Source organism: Homo sapiens, chromosome 5, assembly GCF_000001405.40.
Source record: "Homo sapiens chromosome 5, GRCh38.p14 Primary Assembly".
Classification (NCBI taxonomy): Eukaryota; Metazoa; Chordata; class Mammalia; order Primates; family Hominidae; genus Homo; species Homo sapiens.
In genome coordinates this window covers 56,248,391-56,273,439 of record NC_000005.10, presented here as the reverse complement: position 1 = coordinate 56,273,439, position 25,049 = coordinate 56,248,391, and the positions used below count along the sequence as shown (strand labels likewise).

Sequence of the window (25,049 nt, the reverse complement as noted above, 5' to 3'; positions counted from 1 at the left end):
TAAAGATAAGTTCATGTAACATAAAATTCACTGTTTGAAAGTGTACAATTCAGTGATTATTAGTAAATTCATAATGTTGTGCAACCATTACCATGATCTAATTCTACTATGTCTTCATCACTCCAAAAAGAAACCCTGTATCTCCCAGTTACCACCAATTACCTTTTTTTACTTTGCAGTCAACAAGTGTTTCCTGGAGAGATACCCCTAGACTGTGTAAACATCCCATTCTTTACTCAACTTTCACCTTCCAGCTTTCAAATCTATTGATGCATTTTGCCTAAAATAATTACTATGGTTCTCAAATTGCTCTAAGTCCTTAATTTTTTCAGCATTCATTAGCTGGCATTCTACTTTAGGAAAGAGCATTCTCTTTCCATTTATGTGTTCATTTGCTTGTTATATCAGGACAGACTCATGGATATCTATTTTAATCAATGGGATATAATCTAATACTGTGGTTACTTGGACACACAAATCATCCCAGATTGGGCCAGCTGGCACCCCTTCCGGCTGTCCCATGTCCTCTATGTTGCCATCATTATTTGATTACTTTCTTACCTTCTGGCACAACAAGATATTTTAAACTTGGCATATTTTTCCTGGTCCACCTGTGAGATCGGCCATTTCTCCAAGGAATTCTGGTCCATATTCATGGAAAAATAGTATAATATTTAGAAACTAAATTCTAGGTAGGATCTTTGTTATTGGATTTCACTACTCCCAAGCTCTCTCTAGTACAAAGCTAGGAAATGTATGTATTTGTGTACATGTGTGAATGTGTATACATACGCACACATGAAGATATAAAGTGTATGCACAGACTCACAGAAATGTATATCAACGTTTTGTTTCTTTATCCAACCCCACATAGTGCAAACTCTAAATTTACACCAAAACTTCTCATCCTAATCCCATAGACCACAGCGTTCATTCTAGCTTTCTTCTTTCCTATGTTTATTACTCTTTTCTTGCAGTGAGAAACCTGGCTCCCACCGCCTCATTATAATGACTTATTTCCTCAGCCCTCCTGCCCACTGCTTTTACTCCATCTCCCAAGCCCAGAGAGCTAGCACCCCCATTTAGCCATCTTCCTTGCATGGCCAGAAACCCCATGGGGCCGATAATCTATCTGAAAACATTTCATTAATGATAAAAATATATATTGTGATCTAATGACTTAAACCTATTTCCTTTGCAGAAAGTGTTGCAAATGTTATAATACAGCAAACTCCTTGAATGTGTGTGTCTTCCAGTAATTTTGATAGACTGGCCAGGGTGAAAGTTAATCCATGAATGTGATAGAGTGTTTTCTCTGAGAAAAGCTAACTTTATGCCTTTAAATCCATGAGTTGTACATGAACATGACATGAGCAAACATGTATTGTTCAATGGTTCCTGGTGGCCACTGTTTTTATTCTGGATTTTTGCTTCATAAAAACGATAAATCTGATGTTACAAGCTTTCTAAGAAAGCTCACATTTTTCCTAAGGCTCAAAATTGAAAGGAAAAAGATGTTGCATGGCTTCATGAGCCACTTAGTACTGCAATTCAACTGTTAAAAATTACAAACAAAAATTTTATTTAATTTCTTGCTTGCCCTTAATAGGAAAGGCATCTTTAAAGGATTGTTGACTATAGTTTCTGGAATGGTTCATACTGGAAGATCCTCTCAGCTAATCAAACACTGCTCCTTTTTCTTTTCACTAGATGCATTGTGGCCTGAACATGAACATACATGAGGCTAAGTAATTTTTTTTTTTTTTTTTGAGACAGGGTCTTGCTCTGTCACTCAGGCTGGAGTGCAGTGGCACAATCATGGCTCACTGCAACCTCAAGGGCTCAAGTGATCTTCCTGCCTCAGCCTCCCTAGTAGCCGGTGTGTGCCACCACACCCAGCCAATTTTTTTGTAGAGATGGGGTCCCACTATGTTGCCCAGACTGGTCTCAAACTCCTGGGCTCAAGTGATCCTCCCACCTCACTCTCCCAAACTGTTGGGATTATAGGCATGAGCCACCAGGCCTGACCAGCAATTTATACCTTCTCTGACTCTTAAACCTGCCCTGGGGCCATTGGTGTACTCATTGTATTTAACAACCAGCTTTCTGGGGTGCTGCAGGGAGAGGGGTAGTCCTGATTTGCAGTAAATGGCCATTTTTGTAGCATAAATACTCCCACCATGGCCAACATCAAGCTACCAACATGACATCACTTAACTAGGGGCAGGGAAGAGATTACACAACTGGCTCTCATGAGCTTGTGTGAGCCACCTCCAGCCCGGATGCCCGTGTGTACCTATAAACCAACCAGAACCACCCACCCACTTAAGCATTGTCTCCAAACTGCCAGTGACTTAAAAAAAGTTCTGTACCCTAGAGAGATAAGGGTTCAGGAAACAGGCTATAGTCCTTGATTTTGGGTGTTCACATGCTTAACTCAGAGAGATGACTGTCCTGTATCCATGATCAACAGAGAGGTTTTTGCTGGGAACAAGAGAAACGGGAAGAGAATAAGTGAAAGAAAAAATAAAATCAGCAAACTGTCTTGAAGTCAAAAGTGCGCTTGTGGTAAAGCATATGAGATCAACCACCTCCTATGTTTTCACAGTTCTGCTCTGCCTGGAGGGAAGTACCAGCTCCAAAGGAGGTCCAGCTGGTCTCCTGTGCGCAGGATTTGCAGGCTGAGGGTTAAAGGCGCTCTAAGCCATGGAGCACCTCTGACCCCCACTGGCTGCTGTCATGCATTGCACCTCAGGGATGGCCAAGGCCCCTCAGTACATTGCCCTTTCCTAAACACAAGTGACCAGTTTCTCCTTTGCTGTATTGTCAGGACTTTCCACCAAGTGCCATCTATTTCTCATCCATCTCCTTTGAAATATTTTCACTCTTTATCTACTTCTCTGGGCTGGTAGATATTTCTAAGTCATTGTATAGTGCATGGATTTTATTTTCATTTTCGTTTGATCAGAAAATGAGTCGAGAAGATATGACATTGTTGCATATGTGGTTGATTTTCATTTCTCTTTTTCTCATCCTTTTGGTGACAAACACCAGGAGCTGCTTCTTTTTGTATAAGAAGTCCTTCAGCACCTATACTGGTCATCATCTGAAGCGCATACTCTCTTGCGGTCCCTTTGATAGAGCAAGAGCACCACCCACAGCAACAAAACATGCCCTGAGTCTCTGGAGGGAGCCTGGACAGTTAATGAAACCCAGGGCCAATGGACCACAAAGCCCAGTCCGTAATCAGAGTGCTGCATCAATTGCGCACACTCAAGTGTCTGATTCCATCGGTTCAGTTTGGTATCTGTATGGCGTCTGTCTATTTGTATGATACCTTGGTAATCTGACTCATGAATTAGACCAGACCAAAGCAACCTGGGGGAAAGGCGGAGTATTTGTGGGTAAGGAACATGCCTTCCAGCCTTGTTCTAAAAACCAAACATTAGTTGTACATTCCAGTTATTCCTCAAAGGAATTATTTTTTTCCAGTACCCTGTATTAAATTAATTTTGATTTTGCACCTAGTCTCACTGCTTTAGATCATAACCTGAGTGTGACTTCCCTTTGCTGAGCAGGAAAAGTCTTGCCTCTCTACATCTCTATGTATCACTTTCAAATACAAAATTCTGGGTTTCTTATTCTAAAGAACTGCTTTCTGCTCTTGTTTCTCATGGCCAGCAGAGGGACTCCAGAGAAACCCTCAGACAGAGCGTGGGATTAGGCCACTTTGTGGTGGTGAAAGTTCCCCCAGCTCTCTAGAGAAGTGACATTTAACCCTAGGGTTTCCCAGCACACATACAAAAGGTTTGAGAAATAGAGCCAGGTCTCTCAGGACCACAGGTAACAATAATCTTTACCTGAGGCTGAGAAGAGCTTTGTAATCACATCCACCCCTGGCAGAGAGAAAGAAAGCAGGTTAGCACTTAAAAAAAAAAAAAAAAAAAAAGAATTGTGAAAACTGAAGGAGAAAACAACCAGAACCGTGGACGCGAGCCATTATTCCTCGTTGACGTCACAGCCCTCCAGAGCTGCAGAGAGGGGATATTTGGGAGACTAGGGACCAACTCAATTTTATTATGTTTTGTTGGCTGATAAACTTCACAAATGTCCTAGTCATCACTGAAATTATTTAGTCACTTGTCACACTTTTCTCCTTTATTTCCCAATGTTATAGACAATGAGCAAATTGTATAGGAAATAAACTGTTTGTTTTGCAACAGATGCTGGAGAGCATGTGGAGAAATAGGAATGCTTTTACACTGTTGGTGGGAGTGTAATTTAGTTCAACCACTGTGGAAGACAGTGTGGTGATTCCTCAAGGATCTAGAACCAGAAATACCATTTGACCCAGTAATCCCGTTACTGGGTATATACCCAAAGGATTATAAATCATTCTACTATGAAGACACATGCATGCGTATGTTTATTGCAGCCCTACTCACAATAGCAAAGTCTTGGAACCAACCCAAATGCCCATCAATGATAGACTGGATAAAGAATGGATAGAATGGACATAGACACCATGGAATACTATGCAGCCATAAAAAAGGATGAGTTCATGTCCTTTGCAGGGACATGGATGAAGCTGGAAACCATCATTCTCAGGAAACTAACACAGGAACAGAAAACCAAACACTTTCATGTTCTCACTCATAAGTGGGAGTTGAACAATGAGAACACATGGACACAGGGAGGGGAACATAACATACTGGAGCCTGTTGCGGGGGGTGGGGGACTAGGGGAGGGATAGCATTAGGACAAATACCTAATGTAGATGACAGGCTGATGGGTGTAGCAAACCACCATGGCACGTGTGTACCTATGTAACAAACCTGCACATTCTACACATGTACCCCAGAACTTACAGTAAAAAAAAATAAACTTTAAAAAGGATATGAACTCTTTGTTTTAATAAAATGTATATTATAATCAGGCACAGTGGCCCACACCTATAACCTTAGCTCTTTGGGAGGCTGAGGCAGGCAAATCACTTGAGCTCAGGAGTTTGAGACCAGCCTGGACAACACGGCAAAACCCCATCTCTAAAAAGAACAATTACACAAATTAGCCAAGTGTGATGGGTGTGGTGGTGCATGCCTGTAGTCCCAGCTACATGGAAGGCTGAGGTGCAAGGGTCATTTGAGCCCAGGAGGTCGAGGCTGCAGTTAGCCGAGATCACACCACTGCACTCCAGCCTGGGCAACAACGAGACCCTGTCTCAAAAAATTAAATAAAATGTATATTACAGTCAGACAGGCTACTCTGTGAATTCTGAATGGGCCACTGTCTCTAATCAGAAAGCTTTGTAGATATTCTTGGCACATGGCAATGGCATCCTCAATCAGTGTCTATGTGGCTTTACTAAAAATTAACCAAAGATCGGTTTTATTTCTTAATACTAGACAAGACTGATCAAGCAATAAGAAGTTGTGGTGTACTTGCCATGTTCAGGGAGTATATAAGGCAATGAATGCAAGGGTTGCAGCAAAGAAACATGGGACACAGTCCCTGAATATAAGAAGCTATCTACCTAGGAAGATGAGGCCCAATCCGATACAAGCAATAAAGAAGTATCAAGTAATCTCTTTACTGATAATACTGATCAGGATAGTAATAGTGGCAGTGTATTGAGTGTTTACTCTGTTCCAACGACTGTGCTAAATGCTTTATATAAATCATGTTGTTGAATCCTCAAAACAACTTTATTAAGTAGGTACTATAATTATTGCCACTTTAGGGGTAAGGAAACCAACCCACATAAAGTTTAAATCATTTGCCAGGATTTTATTCCAGGCTGTCCGACACCAAAGACCATGCCTTTAAATATCCAGCAATCTGTAATGCCTCATAAGAGCAAAGGGAGTTCAAAGTGGGGAGATCAGCATGGGATGGATGAGACCTTCACGGAAGAGGGATCCTGGAGATGTAGATGTGGTTTGGGGTAAAGAGAGGATGGAGAAGACCTTCCAAGGAAGGAGGGAGAAGGAGAGGGAGAGCACACACAGGCTGAGAAGTGAAAATGCACAAAGCTCATTGGGGTCCCAAGAGTTACCCTGCTGCCACTGCACACCCTTTTTGCATGGATGTTAGTGGGTGGATAATGGTGGTCAGGTGACAGAAGCACATGGAAGTTAGGATTATGGAAGGGCCTCCTTGAAAAAAGCCTTCAGAAATGAGAGGGAAATAAAAACAATTGAAACCAAAACAAAGTTGATGAGTGGAACCTAATTAAACTAAAGAGCTTTTACACAGCAAAAGAAACTATCAACAGAGTAAATAGACAATCTAGGGAACGGGAGAAAATATTTGCAAACTATGCATCTGAAAAAAGTCTAATATCCAGACTCTATAAGGAAATTAAACTAATCAACAAGCAAAAACCAAATAACCTCATTAAAAAATGGGCAGAGGACCTAAACAGACACTTCTCAGAAGACATGCAAGTGGCCAACAAACATATGAAGAAATGCTCATCTGGCTGGGTGCGATGGCTCATGCCTGTCATCCCAGCACTTTGAGAGGCCTGGGCAGGAGGATCACTTGAGGTCAGGAGTTAGAGACCAGCCTAGTCAACATGGTGGAACCCCATCTCTACTAAAAATACAAAAAAAAAATTAGCAGGGTGTGGTGGCGCACTTGTAATCCCAGCTACTTGGGCGGCTAAGGTGGGAGAATCATTTGAACCCACCTACCTGGGAGGTGGAGGTTGCAGTGAGCTAAGATCGCGTCACTGCATTCCAGCTTGAGCAACAAAGCGAGACTCCATCTCAAAAAAAAAAAAAAGTTCATCATCACTAATCATCAGAGAAATGGAAATCAAAACCACCATGAGACACTATCTCACGCCATTCAGAATGACCATTACTAAAAAGTAAAAAAAAAAAAAAAAACAGATGCTGGCAAGGCTGCAGAGAAAACGGAATACCTATACACTGTTGGTGGGAATGTAAATTAGATCAGCCACTGTGGAAAGCAGTTTGGCGACTTCTCAGAGAATTTAAAACAGAGCTACCATTCGACCCAGAAATCCCATTATTGGGTATATGCCCAAAGGAAAATAAATTATTATACCAAAAAGACACATGCACTCATATGTTCATTGCCATGCTACTCACAATAGCAAAGCCATGGAATTGACTTAGGTGCCAATAAATGATGGACTGAATAAAGAAAATGTAGAACATATACACCATGGAATATTCCACAGACATAAACAAGAATGAATCATGTCCTTTGCAGCAACATGGATGGAGCTGGAGGCCATAATCCTAAGTGAGTTAATGCAGGAACAGAAAACCAAATGCTGCATGTTCTCACTTAAAAGTGGGAGCTAAATATTGAACATACATAGACATAAACATGGGAACAACAGACACTGCAGACTACTAGATGGGAGAGGGTGGGAGGGAATGAGGTGAAAAACTACCTATTGGGTACTATGCTCATGACCTGGGTGCAGTCCATTTATGTAATAAACCTGCATATGTACCCCTGTATCTAAAATAAAAGTTGAAATTTTTAAAAAATCTTTATAAATCTAGATAAGAAACTGTTAACTTTTCACCATTTAACAAAAGTAAATGTCTTACAAGAAAAATGTTTTAAAGGGATAATCTATTGTCTAGAAGAAAGATGACAAAATTATATTTAAAAAGAGAAAGAAAGGGCCGGGTGTGGTGGCTCACGCCTGTAATCCCAGCACTTTGGGACACAGAGGCAGGAGGATCACTTAAGGCCAGGAGCTCGAGACAAGCCTGGCCAACATGGCTTTCTACTAAAAATACAAAAACTCAACAGGCGTGGCGGTGGCACCTGTGGTCCCAGCTACTAGGGAGGCTGAGGCAGGAGAATCACTTGAACCCAGGAGGCAGAGGTTGCAGTGAGCCGAGATCATGCCACTGCACTCCAGCCTGGGCAACAGAGAGAGATTCTGTCTTGGAAAAAAAAAAAAAAGAATGAATGAATGAATGAATGAATGAAATTGGAGATGAAGAAGGCAACATTGAAGCCAGGACAAACAATAAGTAAATTACTTCAACAATTATCCATGTGAAGTGACAAAGGTATGTACTTTGAGAAGAGGGCAGGAAATTCCAACCAGAGATGAGGTGTCACCAGTGGGATCTGGCTAAATTCTAGCCCCAGACATTTTATATTATAATCCCAACAAGGAGGTATCAAACACTAACATATTTTACAACTTTGGTGTGGTCACCTAAAAATAATAACCATCTCTGACAAGTACTATACCAAGTCCTTTCCATATGCCTTTCATTCCCATAAAAAGTGAGCTTAGGAATTATCATCATGATTGATGTTACAGATGAGGAAACTGAGATTCAGAGAACATCTGACTTACTAAAAGCTTCCCAAATAGGAAATAACCAACTAAAAGCTGAAACCCAGATCATCTTACTCCAAGTTATTCACTAATGCTTTCTACAAACATCAACTGAGAAGTCACAAGCACCAAGCACTATGCTACATAAATAATTCATACCCACCACATTAGGAAGCTTATGGCGATTGTACAGATAAACATAATAGATGTGTTAGCTATAGGTGCCAATACATTCCCTAAGTGCGTCAACATTTGTCATTGGGATAAGTGTGTATTAAATATTTGAGGGCACGTTTCATAAGTAAAATTCCAATTCAAATGCAGTTTATTCCATCTTCTTGCATGAGGGTAGCTGAAAAGAGCCAGCTGCCCATCCTACAGAATGAGTCCAGAAAGTGATGCATCTGATGTCTACAGTTTGCCAACAAAGTCATTCTCCCCACTTTAGTCTCTTGGCAAGGAGAAGGCAAGCACTGACTGGTACAAACCTGCCACCTGCAGGAGCCAAGAGGAACAAACCCAAATTCCAGGGAAGTACGGTGACCAGAGGGGGCCATCTAACAACAGACCATCCTGGGATCTGGCTTCACCCCTCAGTGTGAGCCAACACCCTGTCACTGATCCCGCCCACCTCCATTCTTAATGGTGAAGCCTGGTGAAATTGAACACTGAGGAAGCTCTCAGGAAACGAAGGCATGAAGACTTTGCATGGAGTGAAGTCAGGCTGACCTAAGCACAAATCCCAACGTGGCCACTTACCAGCTATATCACTGTAACCATGTGCGTCAACCTCTGTAAACCTCCATTTTATTGTCTGTAAAATGAGATTACTGGCAATCAAATATATGTTGAATGAATGAGAAGAACGCACCAATACATTTTTGTTGGTAGGATTAGAAAAACATGTATATGTAAAGGACCTACTGTAGTACATGGCACAGTCAAAAAATAAATGAGTATAAAATCATTTATTTAAATAATACGAACTTTCTCTGCATTGAGCACCCTGCAGTCAGCTCAGCTCATATATGTGTAATCTAGAATGTTTTTGTGACAAAAGCAAAACAAAACTTTGTCCCGAATCCCTTTCTCGGACTTATATAAGCCACGACCAATCCAGCTTCAACTCATCCAAGACATGAAGTCAAAAAATAAAAGGTATTATCAATATGTGATCGGAGATATTATCAATAGAGGAGGAGATCTATAGAAGAGAGGCTATTCTACCAATTTGACTGTATAAACTTTGGTGAGATTTGCCATCCATTCCTACATATATGTATGTGGTACTCAAAGATTTCAAAAAGCAAGTTTTGGAGCAATTCTCCTTAATCAACTGCTTCTCATGATACTATCCAGGAGCTTAATAATAATGACAACTGAAATAATAGCTAGCATCATGTGCCTTATAGCAGATACTATTCTTACTCCATGTTGCAGATAAGGAAAATGAGGCTCAGCAAACTTAAGTGTAGCAGACATGAGCGGTTTTCTACCCAATACGCTCCCTCCTCATTGACCAATCTCAAATTTTTTTCAAATGTCCACCCCTCCCCAAGCAGCTCTGGCATGCATACAAATTAGGGAGGCCCATCACAGAAACCCACTTTCAATAGCTGGGGTTTGGCTTAGGTAGGAACAAGTGACCTAGTTTTGTTCAATAATTCATGAGATGAGGTCTGCTAGTGGAAGGGGGGAGGCTTTTGGAAAGGATTACTAGATAATAAAGAGACATATGGGAAGAAAAGTTCCTGTTTCTTCCATCAGATGTTGTGTCCAGACGTGACTCAGGGTACCAAGAAGAGTAGCTAAAGATACTACTGGTATGTTGAAGATGGCAGAGTAGAAAGATGGCAAGAACCTGAGTTCTCCCTTATCGGGCCATTGAATCAACCAACTCTAATGAAATTCTACCTCAGCCTTCATAATATATGAGAAAATACATTGTTCTTCTTGTTTAAGGCTTTCAGGCTGGGTTTTTCTGTTTTGTTTTGTTTGTTTGTTTGTTTGTTTTGGCTACTTCCAATAAAAAGCTTCTTTCTGGATTCACTAAGTAAATCGGTGAAGGTCACACACTCAGCAAACGGCAGATCCAGCTCTTAACCTTCCCACCCTCTCATCCCATCCCCAGCCCCAGCCAAAGTCCCTTGGCTCACGGCAGGCCTGAGATCACAGGAATGAAAAACCTCAGTTAAAGAAAAAATCAGAAATATGAGTTTCTCTGTCACAAAGCAAAGAGCATCTAAGTAGAAGTGTACTTACCAGCAAGATTGAAAGCTGCAGGAAAAAATATGGAAGCAAATATATTTCCCCAGAAATGATTTTCACTAAACTACAAATTTTTTAACCATTAAGACTTTCTCTACTGCCAAATAAGAATCAATAGTTATCTTTTCATGGATATTAAAAACCCCTTGTTTTTAAAAGAACAGTAAATAAATAAGTTTCACCAGAAAATTCTTGACCGGGTATTCTTAAAGTGTGGTTTGGAAACTTTAAGCCTCTTTCAGGTCAAAACTAGTTTTCATGATAACACTGAGGCATCAATCGCCTTTTTCATCTCGTCCTCTCAAGTGTGCATTAGTGCTCTCCAGAGGCTACATGATATGTGATATCAAACAGACTAGTGCAGAAACAGATATGAGAATCCAGCTGTCTTCTGATAGAAAGCATTTCTCAAAGAGAGATTTGCCAGATATCAAAGAGATTGGCAAACATTTTATAGAGACATACATCAGTGTCATTTTGATAATTTTTTGTCTCAGAAAATAAGTCATTTTCATAAATATGTGGTATTTATGTTCATTGGTATTGGGTTTATTATTGGAGTTTTTAAAATTAATAAACTTTTTTAAGTCCTCCGGGTTTTATTTCAAGTATAGTAACTATAGGTTGATATAACTCACATATACCAAAGTTCCTTATGGTCCTCTATCACTTGTAAGAGAGTGAAGGAGTCTTGAGACCCAAACACTTGAGAATCTCTGTTCTAGACCAACATATGATGATGTTTCTTCTTCTCCCACTTAGACGCTACCTCTTGAGTGGCAGGGTTTACATGCTTGAAGCATCTTTCTGCCTCCCTCTGATGAGGGATAGATTTACGGTTTCATCCACAGACTATGGGCCTGGGGCCTGTATTGTCTTCAAACTCTGCCACTTTAAACTTTGGTAGAACTTGGGTTCCCCCAAAGGAGACGTTAAGACAGGCTCTAGCCTTGGGAAATTAGTTCGCCTCCCAGCCATCCCTCCTCTCTTCCCATAGAACCCTAGAGCCAGTTTTCAATGCCAGTCTCTCAGAGACCCTCACCTCATTTTCTCTGCCGACACTTTTGCAGATAAGTCTAGCACTGACTAGAACACAGGTTGTAGAGGGTACAGCATAACGTTTTTGTGTAGAAAGATACCCATAACAGAATATTCGGGCCTTCCGCATGAACACCCAAGAACTCACCCTGGAATGGCACAGGCAGGAACATTCCGGAGCCCTTCACATCCACTTCCCAAAAGATCTCTGTAATCTGCAAAATAGGCACAAACCCTCCAGTTAGGGCAGGCCATCTGCTTTTATGCCTTGCCACCCCAAAACTCGCTCTAACCCACCCAATCCAATTCTCACCTCCGTGGCAGCAACTGTGTGACCTGAAGTTTCATCAGTGCATGCCAGCAGGTGGTCAGTAAGGGGCAATCCTCCTGCGGCTTTCGTGGAGGGACTAGAGTGGGCAGATATGGTCCCAGGTTCCTCTGCAGGCGTTGCCAGTGATAATCTCCAACCAGCAGAAAGATGGTGATGGACCTCGATGGAGAGAGACTGGGCACATTGTGTATTCACACAATAGGGTTCCCCTCACCTGGCACCCAAACAAGGAATACGCCAGCAGGGGCAATTTTCTGAAAGCTCCTTCGGGAGCTCTGTTTGTGTTTACTGGGACATGGGACAGTGTTTGAGTGATAGGCTTCTTGCCTTTATCTCTCTGCTTTGTGAGAATGAGAAGGAAGAAGGAGAGAAGGAAGAAAAGGAGATTTTGTCAGGCTCTTCACAAAATCATTCAGAAAAGAATGGGAAGAGTAAGATCCCTTTCAGCTATATATAACATTGTATAATGTTATAATTTTACTCTTTATGTTACAGGAATCTATTGTTTAAATTTAATTGAGGCCAAACCCTCAACCCAAGAACACATCCCAAACCAACCCTCCACTGAGTAAGTTCACTGATTTGAGGAATGCTGAAAGAACAGCCTTCCCCAAACTATTGCCACTGCTGGCTTCCCATGGGGCTGGAAGCTTTCCCCATGACCATCACACTGTTGGGACAAAGAAAGCATTACCTGGTGTAATCTGAAAGCCATTCACATGAATGATCCACGTACTGCAGGTACTGTCCACAAGTCTAGGAAGATTAAAGTGAAAACATCTCCAGTCTCTGTATTGGACATAAACCTTGCCCTTTTTCAAGATTCCCTCAATTGCTGTCTTCTCTCAGTTGGCGCCTCATTCCCAGTGTCACAGATGAAATGCTACATAGTGGGGCACGGCACCTGAGCAGCTGAGAAGGGGCTAGATGATGCCACCCAGAAGTGTAAGGGGCCTTAACTTTCCATGGAGTAAATCTTGACCATTGGGAAACAGGAAATGAAAGAGAATCAGAGTCTGGCCATACCACCCTGAATGAGCCCAATCTCGCCTGCTCTCGGAAGCTAAGCAGGGTGGGGCCTGGTTAGTACTCAGGTGGAAAAAAGAGAATCAGGCAGACATATGTCCTTCCTTTCATCCATTCATAGTATGGCTTCTCTTTAAAAACTCTCCAAAAAAGGCAGGGCGCGGTGGCTCAAGCCTATATTCCAGCACTTTGGGAGGCCGAGGCTGGCGGATCACCTGAGGTCGGGCACTCCAGACCAGCCTGGCCAACATGGTGAAACCCTGTCTCTACTAAAAATACAAAAATTAGCCAGGTTTGGTGGCACACACCTGTAATCCCAGCTACTTGGGAGGCTGAGGCACGAGAATTGCTTGAACCCAGGAGATGGGAGGTTGCAGTAAGCCGAGATCACACCACTGCACTCCAGCCTGGGTGATAGAGTGAGACTGTTTCAAAAAGAAAAAACACAACACACACACACACACACACACACTCCAAAAAAGTCGCATGTGCCAAATGAAGACAGATGCCCTATATCTCTTTACAGCTCATTGGGAAGTTGAAGCCAGCATCCTACATCACACCCCATAGCTTCACCTCTTTCCTTAATTAACTTCTATTTGTTTTCAACATTTTCACACCCCTGGCTTGCACCTCTTAAACCAACTGTCAGATCTTTCCCTTAGGTTTTGTTCTCTAGGAGATCAAGACTAAGACAGTCCATGTTAAGATCTTTGAGAATATCCCAACAAATAGCACCCCTCTTTTCATCTAGGTTCTAAACAAGTTGAGGAGAAGGGGGAAAAAAACATATATACAGGACAAATAGCAACTTTTTGATAGATAAAAGCAAAGTTCTAAGAGTCTACGTTGAGAATCGTATGTTCTTGCTGAATGAACTCAAGGCTTGAACACCCTGTCCCAGTGTCAGATTCAAGGAGACTTTGCCATGTGGAAGGGGACTACCCAAATTTGTCAGTATTATTACTGACAATAAGTAAATTCGTGTTTTCTGTGGGCAGTATGAGGACAGAGTTGAGCTAAACATACACCACAATTCTTCCCATATTTCTCAAACAAATGAGTCATTCCACCACCCCAGAGACACAGTGAGTAAAGAAACAGAGAGAGACCCAGAGTTGTGATAAATGGGCTCCCTTTAGAGGAAGAAACATATGAGTAGGAAAGAAAAATTCTCACTAAATAGTTCTCATTCCATGTGCACTGGCAATGCACCAGCTCTCAGTAATCTGTGCATTTCTCCCAGGCAGTATTTGCTTTTATTTTCTGCTTTTGCTGCATTTTTGTCCCCTCATATCTCATCTTCTATGACTGGTCTCTTCTGTTCACCCTGTGCCAGCCTAAACATGAAACAGTCATTTTCCTTTTAATTCCCCGAAGAAACTATGAAAAGGAAGCCATTAAGTTTAGAAGACTTACTGAAGATAACAGACAGCTCAAGGCTAGATACTTTAATACTTTAAGGCTAGATACTGAGAAGATTTAGGACTCCAGCTATGATAAAATAGCTTGCATCACCTAGCCCTTTCTTCAAAAGTAACTATAAACGCTCCCTCTCCCCCTCCCCCTCCCCCTCCCTCTCTCCCCTTTGCATGGTCTCCCTCTGATGCCAAGCGGAGGCTGGACTGTACTGCCGCCATCTCAGCTCACTGCAACCTCCCTGCCTGATTCTCCTGCCTCAGCCTGCCGAGTGCCTGGGATTGCAGGCACGCACCGCCACGCCTGACTGGTTTTCGTATTTTTTGGTGGAGACGGGGTTTCGCCGTGTTGGCCGGGCTGGTCTCCAGCTCCTGACCGCGCGTGATCTGCCAGCCTCGGCCTCCCGAGGTGCCAGGATTGCAGACGGAGTCTCGCTCGCTCAGTGCTCAATATTGCCCATGCTGGAGTGCAGTGGCGTGATCTCGGCTCGCTACAACCTCCACCTCCCAGCCGACTGCCTTGGCCTCCCAAAGTGCCGAGATTGCAGCCTCTGCCCGGCCGCCACCCTGTCTAAGAAGTGAGGAGCGTCTCTGCCCGGCTGCCCATCATCTGGGATGTGAGGAGCCCCTCTGCCTGGCCGTCCAGTCTGGGAAGTGAGGAGCACCTTTTCCCGGCCGTCATCCCGTCTAGGAAGTGAGGAGCGTTTCTGCCCGGCCGCCCATCGTCTGGGATGTGGGGAGCACCTCTGCCCGGCCGCCCCGTCTGGGAAGTGAGGAGCCCCTCTGCCCGGCAGCCACCCCGTCTGGGAGGTTTACCCAACAGCACATTGAGAACGGGCCATGATGACGATGGCGGTTTTGTCAAATAGAAAGGGGGGAAGTGTGGGGAAAAGAAAGAGAGATCGGATTGTTACTGTGTCTGCGTGGAAAGAAGTAGACATAGGAGACTCCATTTTGTTCTGTACTAAGAAAAATTCTTCTGCCTTGGGATGCTGTTAATCTATAACCTTACCCCCAACCCCGTGCTCTCTGAAACATGTGCTATGTCCACTAAGGGTTAAATGGATTAAGGTCCGTGCAAGATGTGCTTTGTTAAACAGATGCTTGAAGGCAGCATGCTCGTTAAGAGTCATCACCACTCCCTAATCTCAAGTACCCAGGGACACAAACACTGCGGAAGGCGGCAGGGCCCTCTGCCTAGGAAAACCAGAGACCTTTGTTCACATGTTTATCTGCTGACCTTCCCTCCACTATTGTCCTATGACCCTGCCAAATCCCCCTCTCCGAGAAACACCCAAGAATGATCAATAAATACTAAAAAAATTTAAAAAAAAATTATAAACGTTGCACAAAATACATAAAGCAATTGCCTGAAGGCACTGGAGACACCAAGCACAAGCGAGATTTAAAGAAAACCCTATGGCATGAGGTCCACATACATTCCAGATATTCTCTTGAGGACATGTACACACTGCAGAATAGGGATATACAAATACAACAGTCTTAGTGGGCTGAGAAAGTAGAAGTAAGAATTTGGAGCTGCCAAAGCAGGCAGGACTTAGGAAAGTCCTGAAGAAGGGAAACAACAAAGGTGCCTACAATTCTGCAAACTTATTTCCCTAAAGTTTATGGGTTCCTAAGCTGGCACACAAAATATGAAACAAGAAATAAAGAAATAGAAGGAGAGAAAGACACAAAGAAAGAGAGGGGGGAGGAAGGGAGGGAGGAGGGAGAGAGGAAAAGAAGGAAGGAAAGAAGGGAGGGAGAGAGGGAGGGGAGGAGAGAGAGAAAAGAAAGAAAGGAGAGAAAGAGAAAAGAAAGGAAAGAAAGAAGAAAGAAAGAGAAAGAAAGAAAGAAAGATAAAGAAAGAAAGAGAAAGAAAGAAAGAGAGAAGGAAGGGAAGGAGGGAGACAGGAAGGAAGGAATGAAGGAAGGGAGGCAGGGAGGGAGGGAAGGAGGATAGCTGAAGATCTGATCAGAGATTTCAGTACTAGGGAGGCAAAGGTCATAATTAAAACCTTTCCAAAATAGAAAAACCTTGGCGAATGTTCCAGGCTTTGAACCGTCCAGGCTTTGAACCAAATTATGGAAATCCAAGTAGAAATTTATTTAAAGTAAATAGATTTATAGGTGAATCAGATGTTAACAATAACTGACAGGGAGTTTAAAATAACTGTGATTAATATGGTCAAGAGAATGGAGAAAATGATAGACAAAATGGAAGAAAGGTTGGAGAATTTCATTGGGGAAATGAATCTATTTTTAAAAAGAGACAAACAATTGGTAAAATTTTTAAAGCACCAAAAACATCAATTATGTAGAATAAATCTGATAGAAGTTGTATAAGATCTCTACGATGAAAACTACAGATAGTTGCTGAGAGAAGTAAAAGAAGATCTAAGTAAATGACAGGTAATATCATGAACATGGAATTCAAAGATGCAACAGTCTTAAGATATCAAGTCATTCCAAATGGATATATAAATTCAATGCAATCCCAATAAAAATGCTATCAATTTTTTTGGTAGAAATTGATAAGCTATTTGTAAAATTGATATGGAAATAAAAAGAACTCTGAATAGCTAAGGCAATACTGAAGAAAAAAGACAAAACCTGATATCAAAGCTAGAGAAATTAAAACAGTATGGTACTGGAACAAGAAAAGACAACAGATCATGGAATAAATTAGACTTCAGAAACAGACCCACATCCATAGGATTTATGATAAATCTGATTTATGATAAAGGCATCACAGAAACTCAGTGGAGAAAGAATTATCTTTTCAATAAATGGTGGTGGTTCAAGTGTATATTCATATGGGAAAAAAAGACTCTTGTCCCTTACCTCACATTATACACAAAAATTAATTCAAGGTAGATCATATATCTAAAGACGAAAAGTAAAACAATAAAAATTCTAGAAGAAAACACAGTAAATATGTTCAGGGACCTCAGGTTAGGCCATAGTTTCTTAGACAGAACACATGGAAATACTGATAAATTGGATTTAATTAAAATAAAGAAATTCTGTTCAATGAATGACATGGTTAAGAGAATGGAAAAAGCAAACCTCAGACTGGTATAAAATATTTGTTATTCAGACATTTGCATGCACACACACATATGGCAAAGAATTTATATCTAGACTATATTCTTGTATAAAAGTTCTATAAATTGATAAGAAAAAGATATACAACACAATTTTTAATGTTGAGCCAGAATCCTGAACAAGCACTCCACAAAAGAGGATATGAAAATGATCAATATGCAAATGAGAAAGGTGTTCAGCATCATTATTCATGAGAAACAAAACACATCTTGATACCATGTGCTGCTTTGTAGTCTAGAAATGCCAATATCTCCCCTTGAAAAAGCAATTACAAAGCCACAGCTCTGAATACCAGAAAGTGAATTAGAATAAGTGTCAATTATTATAAACAGCCTTGTTTAATTTGGGGAATGGGGTTTCTGCTAAGGTTTTTCATCTTGCAGTGAACGGATTTTGATTCTCTATTGCAGTTATTTAAGTCACTCTTGCCAGCCTAGTGCAAAAAGTGAAAAGTCATAACAGAAACCTTACTCTTGGAATTAAACAGGGCTGCTCACAATTGTTGAAATCCATCTGAATTCACATTCTCATATTCAAAGCTGTGGTTTTGCAATTGCTTTCTTACAAAGAAACTGGAAAAATAAGGCTGCAGGGGTTGAGAATTGTGACCATTTTTGCAATCTAGCATAATGGCTACAAGCACAGGTTCAGGAGCCAGAAAACCTGGGTTTTAATCACTGTTCTGCCGCAGTAGCTGTGTCTTAGTTTCCTCACCAGATATGGAGGACAATGATGGCACATACCTTGTAAAGTTGTGGTAGCTTACATTCTGTCTCACTTTGGTTTTAGCCTAATTTTCTCATTACATTCTGCCTTTTGTTCTAAGCATGTTTTCTAAAATATCATATATTTGTATTTTGCTTTTTAAAAATCATTCTGGGAGTTTTTATACTTAATAGGGGAATTTAATCCATTTACATTATTTGAGAACACTATTATGTTTATTTTTATTCAGATATTCTGTTTTTGTTTTTATTTGTTTGGTTTATAGTTGTTTCTTTTTGCTGTTTCTTATTTTTCCTGGATTTTTGTTGCTTCTTTCTTTCTTATAATAATTTGGAAAATTGCTTACTATTTCTATCTAACTAGTGAATAGGTTTAATTTTTTGATTATCTGACTTTGGGGATGCAGATATTGAAAATAATGCATTCTTTCATAAAAACTACCAAAAAAATAAAAATAATATAGAAAGGCACGAAATAAAATACAAAGTAAAAGTCTTTCTATTCTCACTCTCAATTCACTTCCTCCATGTTAATATTGTGAATAATTTATCATTTTAGTACTTTTGATGGTTGCCATTATTACTTAGAATAATATATTTATCAATATATTTTTAAATTATTCTTTATACTTTTTCTTTAATGGTAACTGATGGTACTAATTATCAATTTATTGCCTCTCTGCTCCAAATTTACTTTTCAATATATGTTCTGAGATAATAGAATTCCTTTAAGCATTTCTCCTTTAAAGAAGGCACTACAGGGACATTGCAGGAGACAAGAGGCTCTCCTGAGGTTTCCGACTGTAGCATGAGAGCCAGTAGTGTGGGTATGAAGACGTCTGCACCAGTCTTAGGCCCAGAAAACTCAGACAACTCAAGAATCCTTATAGCCTCAGACTGCCAATAACATTTCTGTGACCCTCTTGACATGGAAACGAACATCTCGAAGGCCTTCTGAACATGCTGACACCTGGATACCCTATGCAGGCCCCTGTGCTGCCCCGCTGCAGCCTAAAGCACTTTCCTACCCCTGCATGTTCATACCACTGGTTACTGATGACGTTATCCCACCTGCACTCTGAAAAGTGGCTTCATAGTGACTGCTGACCGGCACCAGTCTGAGCATACCAGCAATGAACTTCTCTGCTATCCAGTGGGTTGAACTAAACTTTCTCCATTGAGGTCTGAACCTCTTTCCGAGTTTGTCTTTCCCTGGGTACTCTCCTCTAGTTCTAGGGCATCACAGAGAGTTTCCTTATCTCTTATAGTTACTCTTTTATGATAGTTAATAGTTATTTATATTAAACTTCCTTATTCAATCTACTGCTTGGTTTCTATCTCCTCATTAGACTCAGACTGATATACTAATATAGGCTAGTTTGAGAGGCAAAATATAATTATTGTTTGAAATTTTAATGTTTTATTGCTACCAATATTGAACCCTTTTTCTTTAGTAATGAATTTCTTCATTTATTCAATAAATACTTATTGAATAGCTACCATGTACTAGACTAAAAAAAATGCATCTTTTCATTTCCTTATTGATGACTTATTTTTCCTTCTCTATAAACTATTCACTTGTACCTATTTTTCTGTTATGTTGATGTTTTTCTTATTGAAACATATTATATTTAAATATGAAAGATATTAATTCTTTGGCATATTTGTGGCAAATAGTTTCCCAAGTGTATAGCTTACTATTTATTTTATCTCACTGTTGGTGTATTTTTTTAATTAGCCATATATATTGAGAATTGGATTTTGAAAAACGAGAAGTATACTATATAGTCAGCTATTCCTGTCAGAGAAAAAGAGATTCTACATGTTTATCTTTGTTCCAGCCAAAAACAATTTTGGCAAAGGTTTGGGGAATTGAGAGTGCATCAGATCTGAGCTGGGCTGCTCATTTATGAAGCATTTTGGAATAACAAATAATGACACTCAGCATCGGGCCAGGCACTTAATGAGTGTTCAATACCTACTTCTTAATCAATGGCTGATGGATGAGTTGTTCTAATACACCATTCTAACTCAGCTGTTGGGTTTTTTACTAAGAGAAAAATAAGAATTCTGATTTGGATTCCTATTTGTGCATGGTAGCCATGAAATTTCATACACAGGAGCCCATTGCATGCAGACAGAACTACACGAACATTTCTTCAAGCATTTAAACAGGCTGATATCCTGGTGTAGACTTTATCACTGACAAAAAGGAATTCAGAGATCACCATAACAACCTTTATTCCCATCAAATATTATTAATAGCCTGATGTTGAAAATCACTTCTGACATATCTTAGTTTATCGAGCAAATAGCCAAAACCTTTCCTAGTATGTTATTTTTATCTTGAATTATAACAGAGAAAATATTATAACAAAAGAACAATTATGTGTGTAGGTATGCCCATAGAATTTTAGTTTGTTTGTTTAACTGGATGAAGGAAAGCATAAACCTGTTTGATTAGAGATGTAGAGATTAATTCAGATTTAGCTCTTCAAACTTGTCTTTTGTCTCCCTAAGCCTAGTCATGCCAAAAATTTCCTGCTGCAAATTGAGATCTCATTTTTTTCTCCATTTTTCAATTTGGATTTTAATAGAATTTCTTTCCCTGAGGGAGAAAGAGGGAAATGTCAGAATATAAACTCCTGGAAGCTTAAATCCTACACATAGCTGAAATATTTCATCTAAACTTGCCTAAAGGCTGCCATATTGCTACACGTATAACTCATACATCAGATCTCTCACAGGCAAATAGGACATATTAGGCCAAAGAAAGATTCAGTCACCATTTCACCAAGAAACATACAGGCTGGGTCTATAACATACCAAAAAATGGTCACTTTTAGGGGCCCAAAGTGACTAAAACCAATTGTTTAGCATAATGTAGACCAAATAATACATACCATGGTTTTGCAAAAATTTTAATTTTCTGCTTCATAAGCTTAATGTAAATCTGCTTGCTCTATTTCCAGCGGGAAGGAAATAGATTTTTTTTTAATTCTGTCTTACAAAAAGATTGTGAAATCAAATAGAAAATGTGCTGGGTGTCACTCAACATTTCAAAACTGTTATCTGAAAGAACCACATGTGAAAACATCCTTTGGGAGAGCGTGTAAAGGAAACCTCCCATCTCTTGATGTCATTAAATTGTTGACACTGCATTCATGCAATGGGAGTGTCGCCTTAACCAGCCAAATGATAATTCAAACCTCCTTAATTTTCTTCTTACAAATAAAAGAAAATTACTTTCTCTGATGATGATTGGGTTAATTAGCAGCTCTCTAGGTCTCTGTGTAAACTGAAGATGATTAAGATAACTTCTTGCTCTAATATAGTTTATGACTCTCTGAATATTGGGACTTTTTCTCAAGACACATAACAAGAGGAATTCAGAGGTTAAAATTATCTTGAAATAAAAAAGAAACTGGAGGCAGAACTAGATAGAGAAAAGCTAGATAGATGATACCAGAGAAATACCAAGCTGGCTTAAAGCAGGAGAGGATTTTGCTTGAGCCCCACTTCTCTGTCTAAAGGGTCAGATCTGGGTCCAGCAGCCAACATCATCAACCCTGCATCTCCCTGTCTCAATCTCCCTTCAGAGAGAAACCCCTTTCCAAGCCCCTGGGCTTACTAACTCCTGCCTGTGGACACCTAGGTTATAGGCCCAGATGCCTAACCTCCATTTAGGCTCTCTCAGTGTTTGACCCAACCTGGATAGCAGATGCATTAGCATAAAACTAAGTAGGCAAGAGTCCTGGGTGGTTTGCTGGGCAAATAATTATTTCAGTTAAACGAGTGTTGATTGAGCATCTAACATGTGCAAAGAAGAATGAGAACTTGAGCCCACTTCTTGTGACACCAAGTTCACGATTCTTCCCACCATTCTATACCACCTGGGCTAAAGTGCCAAGGCCCCATTCCCACCGCCAAAATAACAGTGAATGCTTAGATATTGGGAACCCTGAGATTTGCAGGAAATATTATTTAAGTCTGTATGTTTTTCACAGCAGGTGCTGTCAATCAATTCCTCCAACCATTAAAAACTTCAGTGTGGCCCTAGGTGACCTGGATCCTAACTTCCATCAGAACAGTTGTCCATCAGAGCATCTGCACAGTAGTACTTGCCCTCAGCAGCTAGGGAGCTAAAGCCAGATTACATTGGATCAAGCAGAGATTGGGTGGTCTGGAAAGGAAATAGCAAATGTAGCCTTTTTATTCCCAAAATCATGTCAAGAAACAAAGAATAAATCTGTTTGAAGAAACATCACATCATCACAGTTTTGTTTCATTTTTATTTTTTTAAGGCCTGAAGAAGGATATATGTGTAGGCTAAGGAAAAGTTTCTTGAGGAGGGAAAAAGATGAAGTTGCAAAAGAGATGGAATAACTTGGCCAGGCGCAGTGGCTCATGCCTATAATCCCATCACTTTGGGAGGCCAAGGCGGGTGGATCACCTGAGGTCAGGAGTTCGAGACCAGCCTGACCAATGTGGCATGGTGAAACCCCACCTCTACTAAATACAAAAATTAGCCAGGTGTGGTGGTGAGTGCCTGTAATCCCAGCTACTCAGGAGGCTGAGGCAGGAGAATTGCTTGAATCCGGGAGGCGCACGTTGCAGTGAGCCAAGATCACGCCACTGCACTCCAGCCTGGGCAACAGAACAAGACTTCATCTCAATAAAAACAAACGACAACAACAAAGAGATAGAATAACTGATGGAAATCTTAAAGGTAAATGTCTATCAGAATTACGATGTAAGGCATTGCCCTAAGAACTTGACATATTTAAGTCAATTTACTTCACTCAAAAACTTTATGAAGAAGGCACTAAGATATTCTCATCTTACAGATGAGGGAAATAAGGCGTAACTGAGATAGCATCACGTTATAAAACTGGGATTAGAATTTAGCCAGTCAAGCTCCAACGCCCATGTGCTTAGTGGACTGTAGGTTGTAAATCTACCTCTCTGGGGAAAGTTTTTGTGTCAAAGGAGGCACACTAATTGCAGCCTAGCATTCTCAAAAAAGAAAAGACACTTCTTTCTTTTCACCAGAAGGCATTGAAGAGGAGTCAGGGGAGGAAACAGAGAAATGTAGAGGAATAGAAAAGAACAGTTAAAGAAGAATGAAAGATCTATTGGTGTTGGAATGGCTAGGCTGATTGTTAATGTCCCTTACGTTCAGAATAGTAAACCCATGTTTTCAGCACAAATGCACCAGAGGGAAATTACCCCCCTACTTGCTACGGGAGCTGCCATCTTCCAATTAATCTACCAGCTACGATTATTTAGAAAAATGTATGAAAGCTGTAACTGGGTCACAGGCTCATTTTATATTACCTATATACGTACATTGTGTTCCTCCCCATGCTAATTTTGGCATATTCATTATAGTACAAACTTTGGAGAGACAATAATATCTTGGGATCCATCCTTAAACTGTACAGCTTGGAGTCCTGCTTCTTGTGATGGAGATCAAAACGGATGGAGCAATGAACTCCCAAAACTCTGAAATTACACTCAGTGGTTTCCTTGGCAAGGTGAAAGAGCCAAGCATTGACCAATCATGGGATAATGACAGAATATGGTCATACCTCATGTAGCATCCAGTTTGAGAGACCCCAATTTACCATTTCTTGAGAAAAACCCAATTACAACATTTTTTGATAAGAAAGTTCTCTAGACAGCTCTAGACAGTGCTAGTGAGAGGTAAAGCAGGCTAGGCTTCTGGGTCGGGTGGGGACTTGGAGAATTTTTCTGTCTAGCTAAAGGATTGTAAATGCACCAATCAGCACTCTGTGTCTACCTAAAGGCTTGTAAACGCACCAATCAGCACTCTGTCAAAAGAGACCAATCAGCACTCTGTCAAACGGACCAATCAGCACTCTGTAAAATGGACCAATCAGCTCTCTGTAAAATGGACCAATCAGCAGGATGTGGGTGGGGCCAAATAAGGGAATAAAGCAGGTCACCTGATCCAGCAGCTGCAATGCTGTTGGGTTCGCTTCCAAGGTGTGGCAGTCTTGTTCTTTGTTTCTTCCCAGTAAATCTTGCTGCTGTTCACACTTTGGGTCCACACTGGCTTTTCGGGCTGTAACACTCACCTGGAAGGTCTGCAGCTTCACTCATGAAGCCAGTGAGACCACAAACCCAGCGGGAGGAATGAATCTGTAACACTCACTGCGTAGGTCTGTGGCTTCACTCCTGAAGTCAGCGAGACCACAAAGCCGCCAGAAGGAAGAAACTCTGGACACGTCTGAACATCTGAAGGAACAAACTCTGGACACAACATCTTTAAGACCTTTAACACTCACCATGAGGGTCCGCGGCTTCATTCTTGAAGTCAGCGAGACCAAGAACCCAGAAGGAACCAATTCTGGACCCACTAGCACACCACGGCCTTGTTACCCCAGTTTATCCTCACAACAACCTTTCAGAATGGGTATCATGATTATCTCCAGTATACATACTGGAGAAATACTTAGATATGTTCTGTAATTTTTCTGTGTGTGTAGAACTAGAATGGGGCAGAATTCTGAGGAAGCTCTGACATGTATGGCCCTGATAACATCTAGCCATTAGGTGACTCCATTTTTACCTGAAAATAGACACGGGGATTCAAGGTGGTCAGAGTTGCCAGATATTAACCAGTGTCCACCTCTGGCTAACCTCTGTTAGAGATTGATTTTCTGAGGCTCTTTGGGAGCTTAGTTTATATTTATGAGTTTTTACTGTTCAGTAGTGAACCTCCATGGAGAAGCCCTTAAGTGTATTTTTTTTTTATTTAGTTATTG

At 40.8% G+C, this 25,049-nt stretch overlaps 1 pseudogene, besides 1 other annotated feature; it reads left to right on the top strand.

Moving 5' to 3' along the window:
• RNA5SP185 (RNA, 5S ribosomal pseudogene 185) lies at positions 12,994-13,107 on the top strand (annotated as a pseudogene).
• Positions 15,314-15,821: an enhancer, noted in NCBI's record as "NANOG hESC enhancer chr5:55553446-55553953 (GRCh37/hg19 assembly coordinates)". NCBI's record gives its function as "activates a minimal SCP1, AML or CMV promoter by ChIP-STARR-seq in primed H9 embryonic stem cells {active_cell/tissue: H9 hESC(primed)}" and the evidence as "EXISTENCE:reporter gene assay evidence [ECO:0000049][PMID:30033119]".